The sequence below is a fragment of the Homo sapiens genome, chromosome 12 (genome assembly GCF_000001405.40).
Source record: "Homo sapiens chromosome 12, GRCh38.p14 Primary Assembly".
Taxonomy (NCBI): domain Eukaryota; kingdom Metazoa; phylum Chordata; class Mammalia; order Primates; family Hominidae; genus Homo; species Homo sapiens.
The window spans coordinates 111009108-111026358 of record NC_000012.12 but is presented as its reverse complement, the minus strand read 5'-3'; the positions used below and the strand labels follow the sequence as shown (position 1 = coordinate 111026358).

General features: G+C 47.4%; 1 long non-coding RNA gene across 2 annotated transcripts; it reads left to right on the top strand.

The window, feature by feature from the left end:
- Positions 1 to 660: 660 nt before the first annotated feature.
- LOC105369981 (uncharacterized) lies at positions 661 to 13965 on the top strand. Of its 2 annotated transcripts, none has more exons than XR_945338.2 (3): positions 661 to 814; positions 7944 to 8045; positions 13795 to 13965. It is a non-coding gene; the product is annotated as an uncharacterized LOC105369981 (long non-coding RNA). The 2 variants fall into 2 exon arrangements; XR_945339.2 differs by lacking the exon at positions 661 to 814 and adding an exon at positions 2390 to 2446.
- Positions 13966 to 17251: the final 3286 nt, after the last annotated feature.

The window sequence follows — 17251 nt, the reverse complement described above, 5'->3', positions numbered from 1 at the left end:
CTCTCTCATCGCTCACTCTCCAATTCTCCAGCTCCTTCTCCTCTTCTCCCTCTTCCTTTGTTCTTCTTCCTCCTTGGGCTCACATTTCTCCTCCCTCTTCTTCAAATCGGAGGTTCTCACATTTAGTCTCATCAGCAAAACATGGGCCTGGAGCCAAGCAAAAAAAGAAAGAAAGAATTCTTTTATTCCTTTGGTAAGCCAGGGATATGTGGATGCTTACATTTTCTCTGTCCCTCTCCACGATCATCATCATTGTCATCGTCATCATTGTTGTCATAATGGTGCCTACTATGCACTGAGGCCATCCCCAGCATTCTCCCCAAATCTCACATTGAGCATGCCTGTGTCCATTTTACAGATAAGTAAACTGAGGCTCAGAGAGGTGGAATAGCCCACCTGAGTTCACTCAGCAGGACGATGGCTGAGCACAATTTAGAAGCTGGTCAGGAAAACGTGCACCCTTTGGCAGCCCTGCTACAAAAGCCTGCTCTTCTCCTCCTCCCACCCTCCCTTCCTGCCCTGTTTAAGCTTCTGCTGCCAGTGCTCAGGGCAGGAGAGAAGCAGGGATAAAGATGCCATTCAGACAAATTGGAGCCAACGGGGGCAGGTGTTGGGGGGGGCACAAGTGGGAGGGGAGAAGGAACATGTCTGCTGCCCTGGCAGCCAGTCCCTGCCTTTCCACTCCCTCAATCCCCTTGGAACTTCTGGATTCTCAGCTCTTGGCTTCCGCAAACCAAAAACTGATCCACTTGGCCTCATGGGGCTGGGCTCGCTCTCCCCGTCATCTAATTTCCTTCCCTGACAGCATTTGGAGGTAAGCGTGGCTGTTTCCTCCCTTTAATAGCTGAGGAAATGGGGGATCAGAGAGGGTGAGTGACTTGTCCGAGGTCACCCAGCCTGTGAGCAACAAAGGCAGGGGTCAAAGCCTGTTCTCTTTGATGCCAAGGCTCCAGTTCTTGACTTTTAATGCCACCCCTTCCCTTTCTCGACTACCTCTAACTCCTTCGTGGGACCTTACATTTACTGCACAGCTGGTGAGGGGCTGAGTCAGGCCTGGAAGTCAGAGCCAATCCCCTCTTGCGGCCACAGATTCGGGCCACATTCCCCAGAGCTCTGAGCATCCAGGAGGAAGGTTCAAAGCTCTTCTCTGAAGGGTGAGTCTCCATCCCTCACACTGCAGAAACCTCTGAGTACTAAAGAATTCAGCATCTGGGGGAGCAAAATCCCCCCATTCAGTCACTCCCTAACCCAGGAAGCACATCCAGCCCCTCTTGCCACGCTGCCTGACCCAGGAAACACATCCAGCCCCTCTTGCCACACTCCTTGACCCACGAAGCACAACCAGCCCCGCTGCCACACTCCCTGACCCGGGAAGCACATCCAGCCCCTTGTGCCATGACTCTTCTTGCTCCAAGTCCTTGGCATCCATCAGGGTCTCTGGCAAATGTACCAGGCATTGGGGACCTCAAGAGGTCATTGGTTCCATCCCCTTGCCTCCATTTTTGGAGCCTAAGAAAGAGACTCTAAAATGAACCTCAGCACCCAAGGTCAGGGTCTAATCTGCCACCCATGTGCCCACACCCTTTTCTGCACACACTCACATATGTACATATTTGCACATATGTGCACACACAGATGCACAGATAGACATCTGCACATGCTCCTGTCTACACTTGCTCACACCTGCACTCACCTATTCTGCACTGCTCACATGTATTCATGTTTGCACATAAATGAACACACACATGCACACACACCTGCATGTCCCATGCACATCTTTTCATGCACATTTGCACACGAGCCAGAAACAGGTTTTCTGAGACATGGCTGTGTGCTCACACACACGTTTGCACAGCTTGCGTGTGCACACGAGTGAGTATCCTGCCAAGATACAGGCAGGAGGGTATGTCCAGTTGTACCTTCCCTTCCCTGGGTGGGGCAGCCTGGCCTCTCCTGGGGCTTCCCGGAGCCTGGCCTTTGGCAAAAGCCCCACCTGGTGGACACTCGGTGTATACGCCAAGCCTGGGCGCCCTTGGGACCTGAATGAGGGCTCTGGGCAGCCCCCAACCTGACTGGTGATAACTGAGGGAGCCCAAAGCTAGACTTGGGGGCACCCCTACCCACTTAAAGCTTCCTTCTCTCCTCCTATCTTTTCCTTTCCCCAAGCAGCAATTTCCTTGCCCAAGACAAAAAAGAGGATCAGATCCAGAGGCAGGGGTTTGAGTCGCTGCTCTGTCACTCGCTGGCTTCTCCCAGGCCCCATCCACCGAGCTGTAAAATGGGTGTAAAGTTCTCAAACAGATATTCAGAGGAAGGAGATAACACCAGAACGCAAAGCAATTGCTATGTATCTCAGGACAGAGCCTAGGACGAGTCTGAAGTCAGACCCAAGCCCAAATGAGGATGCAAACCCCAGCTGTGCCTCTTCCTTGGTGTGTGACCCTGGGTGAGTCACTCCACCTGCCTGAACCTGTTTCTTCAGCTGTAAAGTGGGTCAAAACCCCCAAAAGGGTGGTTGGAAGAAACCATCAACATCGTGGAAGCGAAGTCTGTTTCCCTCCTCCTTCCTCCCAAACCAAACACAAGAATGCTTAGGGACTGCAAGAAGCAGGTCTGGAATCACAGCAACCAGGTTTGAACTCTGATTTGAATCCTACCTCTGCCACTTTGTAGTTGTGACCTTGGGCAAGTTGCTTTACCTCTCTCCAACTCCTGGCCTCAAGCCATCCTCCCCGCTGAGCCTTTCAAAGTGCTGGATTCAGGCATGAGCCACTCCACCTGGCCATCACTCCACCTTTATGAACCTCAGTTTCCCAGTCTGGTTAATGGGGACCTCCTAGTGTTGTGACAATAAGACAATGCATGCGAAGAGCCTGGCAACCACAGGTGCCCCCTGAATGCAGGCTGCATGATCAGCATCGATGTTTGGGGGAAATGAGTGATACTTGGAGGCCTGGGTGGAGCTGACCCTTAGGAGCCCAATATAATACTTACATCATTCAAATCAATTATAATTAATCACTATGTGCTAGGCACTGATCTAAGCACCAAGAATTAATTCATATAACTTCATAACGACCCCACAGGTAGGCACTTTTATTACTATTTTTGAGACAGGTCTCACTCTGTTGCCTAGGCTAGAGTGCACTGGTACAATCACAGCTCACTGCAGCCTCGAACTCCTGGGCTCAAGCGATCCTCCCGTCTCAGCCTCCTGAGCAGCCAAGACTATAGGTATGTGTGCCACCATATCCAGCTAATTTTTTTTTTTTTAAGAGATGGAGTCTCACTATGTTGCCCAGGCTGGTCTCAAACTCCCTGGCTCAAGCGATCCTCCCACCTGGGCCTCTCAAAGTGCTAGGATTACACGTAGGAGCTACCACACCCAGCCAGCACTTTTATTATTATCCCCATTTTACAGATGAGGACACTGAAGGCACAGAGGGGAAGTAACTTGTCCAGGGTCATGGAGCTAGACAGTGAATTAAAATCCAGACAGGCTAACTCCAGAGCCCTCTGGATTTCTCCCTTTTCCTACTCCCACCGAGCTGTCATAACTGCTTGGACCTCCCAGCCTCCCCCAGGTCTAGAAGCTTCTCTAGGAGCTGAAGTCTGTTTTAGAGGGCAAGTCCTCCACCACAAGAAGCCCCAGCAGGCCTACACTTCCTTCCAATCTCCAGGGGCCACATGGCCACATAAGCATCATGTGTCTCCTGGGGACTATGGAATTAAGATAATCTCAGGGAAGTAATAAACATGATGGAAATGATGCTCATGAAAGAGCATCTGCTAATCCTGGGAGCCCGTGTCAGAAAACTTGCATCTGCTAGATGTTGCTAAGTAGTGTGAAGGTTGGGGGAAACCTGGCTGGTGGGGCCTCGCCCCACTGCTGAAGCAACGCCATGGGGCAGAGGGACAGATGGCGGCCCAGACAAGAAGCTATTAGAAAAGAGAGATTCTGCAAGGGAAAGTGTGCACCCCACACTTTAGTTAAAAGTCAATGGAAAATGACTGCCCGATGATGCCAGCAATAGAGGGGTCAACTTTCAATGTGGCAGGGGGTGGTGCAGGAGCTACTGGCTTTGAATCCTGATTCTGCGACTACCTGGCTGCGTCTAAGTCCGGTTGCTTAACCTCTCTGGACATCAGCTTAATTTGGACGCGGTGGCTCATGTCTGTAATCCCAGCACTTTGGGAGGCCAAGGTGGGTGGATCACTTGAGGTCAGGAGTTGGAGACCAGCCTGACCAACATGGCGAAACCCCATCTCTACCAAAAATATAAAAAATTAGCCGGGCATGATGGTGGGCGCTTGTAATCCCAGCTACTCAGGAGGCTGAAGCAGGAGAATCGCTTGAACTTGGGAGATGGAGGTTGCAGTGAGCCGAGATTGTGCCACTGCACTCCAGCCTGGGTGACAGAGTGAGACCTTGTTCAAGGAAAAAAAAAAAAGAAAGAAAATGAGAATAATAATACCTGCCTGTGGTAGATGGTGTCACTGGCACCAGTTCTTCCCCTTCCCTCTCTGTGTGCCCAATGCCAGATGACTTCGAATGACCTTCCCACTGTGGGTGAGGGTGATTTTCCTGCCTCTTGATCTTGAACTTGGCAATGTGAGCTGCTTTGGCACACAGAACGAGGCAGAAGTGTTGGTCTGCTGGTTCTGAGCCCACGTCTCAAGAAATGTTGTGTGCTTCATTTGTTTTTTGGGCCATGGCCTTTGCCATGGAAAGAACATTTTTGGGCTAGCCCACTGGTCCCAGGAGAAGGCTGCAAGACCTAAGGGTAGGGAGGAGGCAGGGTTTCTGAATGGCAGGTTGGGGGAAGCCTCTGGCACCCAGAAACACCTGCTGAGGACTGGTCCGTGGCTAAGAAACCAACATCTCACGCACTGAGTCTCTATGCTGTGGGTCCTACTTGTAACTGCAGCAGATGGATCTATAGCCATCCCCCTGGAAGCTGGACCCAGCACCCCTTCCTGAGCCAATCCTGTGGCTTTGCCAACCTGGATGAACCCCTGAGGTCACACAGCCTGGGCACCATGGGACTTTGTGCTTTCAGCTGCTGTAGCCCCCTGACCTAAGACTATGGGCTCCTTGCAATTAGCTGTGGGTTCCCATTGAGTCCACCCTTAGGCCATCCAACTGCCTTGAGGGGACCCACTCTGGCCCAGGAATGAGGTTCCCTGGTGCTCCTGCCAGTCTTCCTGGTGGCCTGCGCCACTTTGTGTTCTGCAGTCCCAGCAGGTCTTACGCACAGCTAGCCAGAGTCATGATACCATGTGTCCTCGGACAAGCCACTGCCGTCTAGCACCTCCCAGGCCTCGTTTTTCTTATTTTACATCTGTGAAAGGGGAGTGACGCTCTCTGCATGACTCAACTTTGTCAGCATGAAGATTCATCACTTTGGAAAGATGAGTCCTCCCGAGTGCTAAGGGGTCGTGAGAGCCGCCGTCCAATCTTACTTCAAGGGGCATCACTGAGATAAGTAGAGGAGAATCCCAGATCTTTGCCCAGCTTCTCCTTAACCCTCTCCCTGCTTCCTCCTTTGCGTGAAGGTCTTGAATGTCAGCTTCTTTGCCAAGCTCACGATGACAAAGAAATAAAGATGTACATAGCCCCACTGGCGCTGGAAAAAGATTCCTTTTTTTTTTTTTTTTTTTTTTGAGACAGGGTGTCCCTCTGTCACCCAAGCTGGAATGCAGTGGCACGATCATAGGTCACTGCAACCTCGACCTCCAAGACTCAAGCCATCCTCCCACCTCAGCCTCTCAAGCAGCTGGAACTACAAGTGCTTGCCACCACACCCAGCTAATTTTTTTTTGGTAGAGAGAGTCTCACTATGTTGCCCAGGCTGGCCTCCAACTCCTGGGCTCTGGAGATCTTCCCGCCTCGGCCTCCCAAAGTGCTGAAATTACAGGCATGACCCATCATGCTCAGCCAAAACATCCCTTTCTAGAACTGCATGTGACAGCCATGAATGGGCATTTCACAGAGGAGGAAACTCAGATGGCCAATAAGTACAGGAAAAGCTGCTCAGCCTCTCTGATAATTAGGAAAGCTTCAAAATAAAACCAAAATGAGGTATCCCACTCACCAGATTGGCCAAAATGTTAATGCCTGGTAAGAACAAGTGTTGGCAAGGATGTGGAACAACTGGAGCCCTCATACACTCTAGGGGCAGGAGGTGGGTCTAACTAGTACAACCACCTTAGAACACAATCCAGCTACATCCAGTGAAGCAGATAACATGCATGCTGTATGTTCCAGCGATCTACTCCTAGGAATATTCCCAGCAGAGACTCTTGTACCAGGACAGGACGCAAATGATTTGTATCTTTATATAAGATTGTTTATAAAAGATTGTTCACAACAGTTATTAAAAAGAGGGGCTAGATGTGGTGGCTCATGCCTGTAATGCCAGCACTCTGGAAGGTTGAGGCAGGTGGATCACATGAGCCCAGGAGTTCAAGACCAGCCTGGCAACATGACAAAACCCCATCTCTACCAAATATATATATACAAAAATTAGCTAGGCATGGTAGTGTGCATCTCTAGTCCCAGCTACTTGGGTGGCTGAGGAGGGAGGGTCACTTGAGCCTGGAAGGTTGAGGCTGCCTTGAGCCGTGATCATGCCACTGCACTTGTGCCTGGACGACAGAGCAAGATCCTGTCACCAAAAACAAAAGGAAAAAGGTAGTCACCAAATGCCCATCAGCAGTAGACTGGATAAATAAATTGTACAGTATTTACACAATAGAATTCTATAAGTGGGAAAAATAAATGAATCAGAGCTACATAAGTCAACATGGATGATTCTCACACAGTCACGCTGAGTGAAAAAAACGAGGGACTGAAAAACACAAATAATAGAATATTATGTATATGAACTTTTAAAACAGGCAATACTCTGCTATATATTGTTTCAGGACACATTCACAAGTCTCAATAAAACATTAATTCAGGCTGGGCGCGGTGGCTCACGTCTGTAATCCTGGCACTTTAGGAGGCTGAGGTGGGCAGATCACCTGAGGTCAGGAGTTTGAGAACAGCCTGGCCAACGTGGTGAAACCCTGTCTCTACTAAAAATACAAAATTAGCCAGGTGTGGTGGCACGTGCCTGTAATCCCAGCTACTCGGGAGGCTGAGGCAGGAGAATCACTTGAATCTGGGATGGGGAGTTGGAGTGAGCCGAGATCATGCCATTGCACTCCAGCCTGGGCAAAAAAAAAGCAAAACTCCATCTCAAAAACAAACAAACAAACAAACAAACAAACAAAAAACCCAACAACAACAACAAAAAACTGGCCGGGCTCGGTGGGTCACGACTGAAATCCCAGCACTTTGAGAGGCCAAGGCAGGCGGATCACGAGGTCAGGAGATCGAGATCATCCTGTCTAACACGGTGAAAACCCGTCTCTATTAAATAAATTTAAAAAAAAAATTAGCCGGGCATGCTGGCACGTGCCTGTAGTCCCAGCTACTCAGGAGGCTGAGGCAGGAGAATTGCTTGAATCTGGGGGGCAGAGGGTGCAGTGAGCGGAGATCGCGCCACTGCACTCCAGCCTGGCGACAGAGCGAGACTCTGTCTCGAAAAAACAAACAAAACAAACAAACAAACAAACAAAAAACCACATTAATTCATAGGGATAATAAGCCCCAAATTCAAGATAGAGATAATCTGGTCAGGTGAGGAAGGACTGAACTTGGGGAGCGATAGGTAGAGGGGTGTTAGCTGGTCATCTTGTATTTTTTTAAGCTGGGTTGCAGGTGTACAGATGCTGTAATGTTGTTCTTCACCTCTTCTCATATCTGCAATAGATCAAAATAAATTTTGCAACAGGGAAGTGGAGTATTGTTTGGTTTGAGGGACATGTAAGGACTAAACATCCTCTCTGCCACTTAGTGTGTGACCCTGGGGGCTCTTTGTTTTTCTGGACTTCAGTTTCCTTGCTGGGCAACTGTGAAGGTCTGAAATCATCTAGTGAATGGATTTGGTGCAGAGTAAGTGCATGACAGTTGTTGAAGATGACTACTGATCATTTGGGTAAGTTCCAATCTTCATGTCCCCCTCCCTCCCTCCCTCCCTCCCTCCCTCCCTCCCTTCCTTCCTTCCTTCCTTCCTTCCTTCCTTCCCTCCATCCTTCCTTCCTTCCTCTCTTTCTCTCTCCCTCCCTCCCTTCCTTCCTCTCTTTCTCTTTGCCTCCCTCCCTTCTTTCCTACTCTTGACAGGGTCTTGCTCTGTTACCCATGCTGGAGAACAGCAGTATGATCATAACTCATTGCAGCCTTGAACTCCTTGGCTAAAGCAATCCTCCTGCCTCAGCCTCCCAAGTGCCTGAGACTACAGGTGCATGTCACCATACCAAGCTAATATTTTTTGTAGAGGTGGGGTCTTGCTATCCTGCCCAGGCTGGTCTCTAACTCATGGCCTCAAGCATTCCTCCTGCCTCAGCCTCCGAAAACGCTGGGATTTCAGGCATGAGCACCATGCCCAGCCTCATGTCAGTTTTCTTAAAGCAAGGTGTCTAGGGGTACCCAAGAAAATGAGAATTGTGGAGGGTAAGGGAGAGGCAGCTATCCTCTTGGCGTTTACTTCTATGGTGATGCCTGTGCTGAAAAGAGATGAGGTCTTGCCCATCAGCATCTCCTAGAAGAAGACCCAGTGGACACAATGAGTGGGCTCCAGACGTGGATTCCCGGACACTTTCAGATACACCCAATCCAACCAGAACATATTTCTATGAGCCCATTGCAAGAGGCCAGTGGGTCTGCAAAAATATGTTCATGGTGCAAGGTCCAGAGGAGCTTATGATTTGTTCCCTCCATCAGCCAACAGGTAATTCATCAAACCCACTTTGTGCTTGGTGTTGGAGACACAACAATGACGACGTCTCAAGAGTTACTATCCTTTTGGCTATCACAGTCCAAAAGACATGAAACTGCCTTGGGTGAGAGACAGTTCGAGGATAACATGGCACAATATAGCCTGGAATGGAGCACTGATGTCACAGAATTCTGCATGAATTCTGCATAGTAGGCACTCAGAAAATACCTCTTAAGTCCGGATGCGGTGACTCACACCTGTAATCCCAGCACTTCGGGAGGCTGAGGCAGGTGGATCACCTGAGGTCGGGAGTTCAAGACCAGCCTGTCCAACATGGCAAAACCCCGTCTCTACTAAAAATACAAAAATTAGCTGGGCATGGTGGCACATGCCTGTAATCCCAGCTACTTGGGAACCTGAGGTAGGAGAATCACTTGAATCAGGGAATGGGAGGTTGCAGTGAGCCGAGATCGTGCCACTGCACTCCAGCCTTGGTGACAGAGTGAGACTCTGTCTCAAAAAAAAAAAAGGAAAAAAATTGTTAAAAAAAAAAAAAAAAAAGGAAAGAAGGAAGGATGAGAGAGAGAAGAAGAGAAGGGAGGGAGGAAAGACAGAGGTAAAAGAGAGAGGGAGGAGGGAGGAAGGGAAGGAGGGAAAAGATGGTATTTGTAGACAGTCAAGGTAGGAAAAAGGAGAGCTTGGGTTGGAGTTACAAGGAAGGTTCCTTGGAGAAAGTAGGATTTGTGTGCATCAGACTTTTCCTGGCCTCCTCAGTAACAATCCCCAAACCACAGAGGCTTAAGACAACAAATGTATGTTTCTTGTTCCTGTTATGTGTCCACTGTGGGTCAGCTTAGGGCTCTGCCCAAGCACCCTCACTCAGGCACCCAGGACGATGGAGCCTCTATCCCTTGGGAGTCATGGTGGGACAAATGGAAACACAGCACCTCGTAAAGCATTGTCTCGTACAGCCTTCCATGGTTAACATCACATTGGTCTAAGCAGGGGATGCCAGGCTTGGCATCTCTCAAATCCTCTTCTGTCTATGCTGGAAGCTCTGCTCTTCTTAATCAAGGAAAAATGCATAGACGGCCTTAGGTAGAGAAATTGTTAGGATGCCAACAAATCTGTAGCCTCATCCTGGAGTCCCACAGATATTGGTGAGAAAGTCCTTGTCCTCGAAGAAGAGAGTGCTGAGAGAAGGGACAATCTGGGGGAAGGAGCAGGTTGCAGCATCTTGGGGGCTGTCCAGGTCTGAAAGACAGGGCTACCAAGACTCTCCTTGGGGAAAGATGTGCCAGACAGACTTTGCATGTATGGGGACACCTGGTTTCTGGCTCCATGGGTATTAGGTACACATCTCAGTTCACAGACAAGGTGTACAAGAGACAGTGGGTCTCCTTATATTCTTTTTTGTTTTTTGTTTTTTTGAGACAGGGTCTCGCTCTATTGCTCAGGCTGGAGTGCAATGGTGCGATCTCAACTCACTGCAACCTCCGCCTCCTGGGTTCAAACTATCCTTTCACCTCAGTCTCCCAGGTAGCTGGGGATACCAGTGCGTGCCACCATGCCCAGCTAATTTTTGTATTTTTAGCAGAGACAGGGTTTCACCATGTTGGCCAGACTGGTCTCAAACTCTTGACCTCAAGTGATCCACCCGCCTTGGCCTCCCAGAGTACTGGGATTACAGGCATGAGCCACCATGCCCGACCTCCTTATGTTCTTTAAGCCAATTTAATTTCCACTTCAAACCCCATCCACACCTCAAATGGAAGATGGGCAATTTGACAGCAGCTGTTCTTACATTCCTCCTCTGGCCCTATTTCAAATGTCTCTCAATCTTTCTGATCATTCCCAAAGTGCAAGTTTCAGTTAGATGCTAGTGCATCTGTAACTTGAAAAAAGAAATCTCTCTTTTAAATAGAGAGAGAGCAGGTTACAGGCTCAGTCCCTCTGGCAGGCAAAAATGTAATTCATTACTCTCAACATATTTATTTATAAGTATCTCCTTTCTATTTAGGGCAAGAGATGCCAGTTTTCTACTTAGAGTGGTGATAGGAAGTTTCCTTTTACAAATACACTTATTTAAGTAAAAAGTGAGCCAAGTTAGAGAAAAAATATTTAAAAAATAATAACATAGATGATACATGGATATGGCAAAATTTGAGAATGTGGGTGGCAAGGATTGAAGGATTCTATTGGGTACTGACCTTGGCTTTGACATTAGATGTGCCAAGTTTAAATCCAGGCCACACTCGCTATACAAACTTGGGCAAGCTACTGACCCTATCTGAGTCTCAGTTTCCTCATCTGTGAATTGGAGATGATAATAAAATTAATCAAACTTCCATAACTCACTTCATCTAAACTCTTTGGGACAAGATGTATTTTGGAGTTCAGAATTCTTCAGAGGTTTGGAATACTGTATACTGAGTGTTAGTTACACGCAGGATCTGGGCAGCACCCTGTGACCAAGCACATTGATATTTCTGCAGCAAATGGATGGCTGTTCATATTAAGTGTTTTTGTTTTGTTTTGTTTTGTTTTTTAAGTCTATACATTCTACAAGTCCTGGTCAGACTTTTCAGTCAAATGAACTTGCCACGTAAACTTGAAAATAAAACCTTTCGAATTCCAAAGCTTTGGGGATTTTGAAATTGCAGACAAGGGACTATGGACCTACACCAGCTTCATAGGAGGTTAGGTCGGGGGTGCACAAGACTAAATGAGCTAGAAACATCCAGCATACCCAGCACAGGATATGCATTCCATCAGGCTCATGCAGCACCAAGGCAGAGGGAGCAGGGAGAGGCCAGAGCCCAGAGGAAGGGATTAGAGAAAGCAAGGGATGCCATCCATGGATTGCGGATTATAAGAGCTTCCCAGATTTCTGAGAAAGCGCCTCCTCCGAGCTGACCCTGCCTCTCCTCTTCTTCTTTCTTCCTCTTTCTTCTTCTTCCTCCTCTTCTTCCTTCTTCCCCCTTTCTTCTTCTTCTTCTTCTTTTTTTTTTTTTTCAGTTGGAGTCTCACTCTGTCACCCAGGCTGGAGTGCAGTGGTGCAATCTCTGCTCACTGAAACCTCTGCCTACCTGGCTCAAATGATTCTCCTGCCTCAGCCTCCCGAGTAGCTGGGATTATTGGTGGGTGCCACCACACCTGGCTAATTTTTGTATTTTTAGTAGAGATGGGGTTTCATCATGTTGGCCAGGTGGATCTCGAGCTCCTGACCCCTCATGATCTGCTCCCCTTGGCCTCCCAAAATGCTGGGATTACAGGCATGAGCCACCATGCCCGGATCCCTCTTTCTTCTTATTCCCCCTCTTCTTCTTCCATCTTCATTCTGCAGCAGGCAGTCCTATCCAACTGCTTGATTTTGAGTACCCCCAGTAGTAGACCCCAAGATTAGCACTCAAATGCAAGTACAGTCATGTGTCACTAAACAATGGGGATACATTCTGAGAAATGCGTGGTTAGGTAATGACATAGCACGGACATCATGGAGTGTCCTTACACAAACCCAGATGGTCTAGCCTATACACATCTAGGCCATACGGTTTAGCCTATTGCTCCTAGGCTACAAACCTGCACAGAATAGTGCTGTATGGAATACCATAGCCAACTGCAATACAGTAGTAAGAATCTGTGCATCGAAATATATCTACACATAGAAAAGGTAATGCATTGGGCTACAATGTGATGATGGCTATCATGTCACTGAGTGATAGGAATTTTTCATTTCCATTATAACATCATGGGACAACTGTGGTATATGTGGTACAACATTGACTGAAATGTTGTTATATGGTGCATGACTGTAGGGCAGAGACACAGAGCAATGGGGAAGTGAGACAGGGAAGGGAAGGAAGCCCATTAAAAAATGACTTATCAACTTGGTTGCCTATGGTTTAATCCACCAGGAAATGCTGTAGACAAAGTAACACACGCCCTCAGCCTTATCCTGTCTGAGGAGTGAGGGAGCTGGGGTATTTACACACCAACAGCCATCAGTCATTGCCAAGGGGTACCACCAAGGGGCATACCTTCCCTGGCTCTTCCAGATTCCTGTGTGGGTGGGCAAGGTGAGCTACCGCAGCCAGGGAAACCCTTCTGCCAGTGACATGTAGGTGCTAGCAGTTGGCAGTCAGAAGGCTTGTCCTGAAATGAGATGATAAGCAAACAGGGGTGGGGTACTGATGGGGCCTGTTACATTAACCTCACAACCATGCTCCCCATATTCCTTGCTGGCACATTCTCAATTTTGTGGGCATGTCCATCTGCCCAAAATCCTGACTCAGAGGAAGCTGAGGATGACTCTCCCCAATTTCAGAGCTAAATCTTGATTAATCTAAAGTCTAAACCAATTACGATGCCTGCATTACCCTTGTTGGTGATTGGTCTAGGCCTGGACATGTGACTGTTTTAGCCAATGAGATGTGAGGGAAGGTCTGCAGAGGTGCTTCTAGCGAAGGTTTACTGTGGATGCTTCTGTGTCCAGGTGTTGATACCTGGTGCTGGGGCAGCCACTTTGGGGCCATTAGGGGAAGCAGGCCAAGGTTAAAGGCCACACAGAGAGAGTTGATATCACATAGCCACTGATCACCCAAACCTGAGTTCGCCTACGTCTGCACTTCTTGTGTAAGATTAAGATAATCTATTCTATTTTTAGCCTGTTTGAGTTGGAATTATCTCTTATAGTAAAAGGACATTATTTTGGATATTAAAGGAAACTATAAATCAGCTAGCAACCTAGCTGAGATGTTGGATCTTAAAGACTTTAACATGAGAGAGGGGACACTAGAGGCAGGCAGGAAGGGGACAGTGAGAGAGCTGGCTGGGCTGGATGAAAAGGAGGGTTTCAGGAAGGAGGTTGGAGTGAAAGTCATTAACAAATTCCTGGTTCCATTTCTGTATTCTCAGTGGAGAGCAAATGATTTCAGCTCAAGCCCAGGGCCCTCCAATTTCTTTCCAGGATCCTTCACATCTCCTCCACCAGGAAAGAAAGCTGGACTGCGCAGGTCGGGAAGATTCCGGGGAGATGCACAGCCTTTGCGTTCTGGGCTCATCTGGCCTTCAACGTGTGATTTTGAGAGTTGGAAGCGAGAAGATTATAACTCAGAATGGCACGCGGGTGTGAAGCCGGCTGCCTTGCCAGCTATTTGCCTGTATTTAAAACACATATGGGTGATATTTTTAAATATCTTTGCTGTGTGATTGAAAAACATTGCAGTTGCTACTTCGTGGACGTGGGTTTTTATGCAAACCCAGGGACGGAATGATGAGTGTATGTTGTACCTACGTGGGCTTTGCTGGAGAGAATGCAAGGACAGAATGCACAGCCTGCAGAAATGTCGGGCAGAGAATTGGGGCTGGGCCATTCAACATGTAACTTGGGTATAGGGGCGGCTGGCACAAGTGCCTTGGTTTTCTCTGAGGTCTGTCTCTCCCTGCTCTCTGTTCTTGGGGTTTGGATGGGGCTCCTCCAATGTCCCTAGGAGTGGGCATGTGACCCAGGTTTGGCCAATCAGGTCATTCAAACCCATTTGCCCCAGCAATTGGTTGTTGGGGGGAGCTCATGCCCCAAGGCAAGCCTATGAGACACAACCCTGGACTTTCAGGAGCTACTGGCATGGAGGCACTTTCCTCTTGTAAAGTGGCTGGTTGATACCTAAAATGGTACCTGAAACTGCCAAATACCAACTTTGTCCCCATTTGGAGAGAGCCTGCTGAGAATAAAGCCAAGGTGGGGGAATAAGGAGCCTGAGAGATGGAGAGAATCCTGGATCCAGCCATGCCTGAAATCCAAAAATCTCCTTCCTTCCTTCCTTCCTTCCTTCCTTCCTTCCTTCCTTTCTTCCTCTCTCTTTTCTTTTCCTTCCTCCTCCTTTCCTTTTAAAATCATGGTAAATTATCTATAACATAAAATTCGCATTTCAACCATTTTTAAATGTACAGCTCTACCTCCTTTGTGAATCCTTACCATCTTGCCCAGCCAGCCCTCTCACTGCTTGCCCATAGTGTCCTCTCCCTTGTATTAAAGTCTTTAAAATTGCTGTCTCTTTGCCTGCTGCCATCCGTGTAAGACGTGACTTGCTCTTCCTTGCCTTCCACCATGACTGTGAGGCTCCCCCAGCCACGTGGAGCTAACAGAACAAACCCCAGTGCTGTCATCTCCTGGCTGTCTCCTTTGATCTGGTCCCTGCCCACCTTCCCACATCCCACTCTGATTCCTTTGATGCAAATATCTGATGTCATGTGGGCATTCGATTCTAAAATGTGAGTGTGAAGGAGATTGGGAGTGTGGCTACTATGCTACTCAGAAATGCTCTTAGCCTTTAGAGAATCGATCACTATTTTGAAATGTCATAATATTCAGAAAGGGAAAAGTTAGACTGGGTCTACTGTGATGAGGACACATCTTCAAGAAGAGTCTCATGTTGCATCATCCTCAGCTTCTCATGAGGTGTTGTTGGTTGTGTTGTTCTTGGTTATTCCATAAAATCTTAGGGTCTTGTAAAAAAAAAAATCCAACTTTGCTTAGAAGTGAGCTTATAACTTGAGACTTCCTCCATTTTCTCACTTTCCAGATTTATAGTTTCTTTTAATATCCAGAATAAGACCCTTCTACATAAGAGAGAGTTGTATAATACATTTAAATGTTCAACGCATTAATGGCATTCGCAAGGTTGTGCAACAAAAATCACTATTTCTAAAATTTTTTATCACCCCAAACAGAAACTCTGTACTCTTTAAGCAATACTTCCCCTTCTACCCCAGGACTTTTTTTATTTTTAATTAATTAATTAATTATTTTTATTTTTATTTTTTTGAGATAAGTCTTGCTCTGTTGCCCAGGCTGGAGTGCAGTGGCTCAATCTCAGCTCATTGCAACCTCCACCTCCCGGGTTCAAGTGATTCTCCTGCCTCAGTCTCCTGAGTAGCTGGGAATACAGGCATGCACCACCATGCCCAGCTAAATTTTTGTATTTTCAATAGACATGGCGTTTTACCATGTTGGCCAGGCTGATCTCAAACTCCTGACCTCAAGTGATTCACCTGCCTCTGCCTCCCAAAGTGCTGGGATTACGGGCATGAGCCACCACACCTGGCCTATTTTTATTTTTTAAAGTATAACATACACATACAGTAAAATTCTCCCTTTTTACTGTGCATTTGGACAAACACATACAGTTGTGTAACCAGCACCACAATCCAGATACAGAACAGTTCTATCCCCTGACCTCACATTCCTTGGTTCTTTGTAATCTGCTCTCCTACTCCCCACCACCCTGCAGCCCCTGGCAACCACTGATCTGTTTCCTGTTTGTAAAGTTCTGTCTTTTCCAGATTGTCATATAAATGAAATCATGCACTACGCAGCCTTTTGAGTCTGGCTTCTTCCTCTTAGCAAAATGCATTTGAGGTTCATGTTGTTGACATTCGGTAGTTTATTCTTTTTCATTACTGGATAATAATAGCCCAGTGTATGAATGTGCTACAGTATATTCACCATGTACCAGTGGAGGGCCATTTGTCTACTTCTGTACTCTGAATTTACTTCTGCCCTAAATTCCTTTTTTATTTCTCAAGCTGTTTGAGTCAGGTTTCTGTTACTTGCAACCAAATAATCTTGACAAGATATTGGAGAAAGCTACTTTCCTTCTCTGAAATTATTTATTTCATCTATAAAATGAGAGCATATTGCTCAAGACAGTTTTGATTGTAAGTAACAGAAATCTAGACTCAAAATTGGTTTAAGTGAGAGGGACAACTATGATCTCACATAACGGGGATCCTGCAAGTGGAGCAGATCTCAAGGTGGGTGACTTTGTGGTTCAACCATGTCACCCCAGTTGCAGGCACGTTCCATCTCTTTGTTTTGCCATCTTCAGGGTTTCTTCCTCAGGACAAAGCAAGATGGTGGCAATGGTTCCACTGGGACATGGCAATGGTTCCACTGGGACAAAGTTCACAGAGGTTTTCTCATAGATCTTGGGAGGCTTCTAGAAACCACACCCAGCAAATTTTTCCTCATATCCCTTTGGCCAGTGATATGGTTTGGCTGGGTCCTCACCCAAATCTCATCTTGAATTGTAGCTCCCATAATTCCCACATGTTGTGGGAGGGACCCAGTGGGAGCTAATTAAATCGTGGGGGTGGTTTCCCCCATACTCTTCTCCTGGTAGTGATTAAGTTGCACAAGATCTGATGGTTTTATGAGGGGTTCCCCCTTTCACTTGGCTCTCATTCTTCTCCTACCTGTCACCATGTAAGATGTGACTTGCTCCTCCTTGCCTTCTGCCATGATTGTGAGGCCTCCTCAGCTATGTGGAACTGTGAGTCAATTAAACCTCCTTCCTTTATAATTATACAGTCTCAGGTATGTCTTTATTAGAAGCGTGAGAACAGAATAACACAGCCAGAGCTGG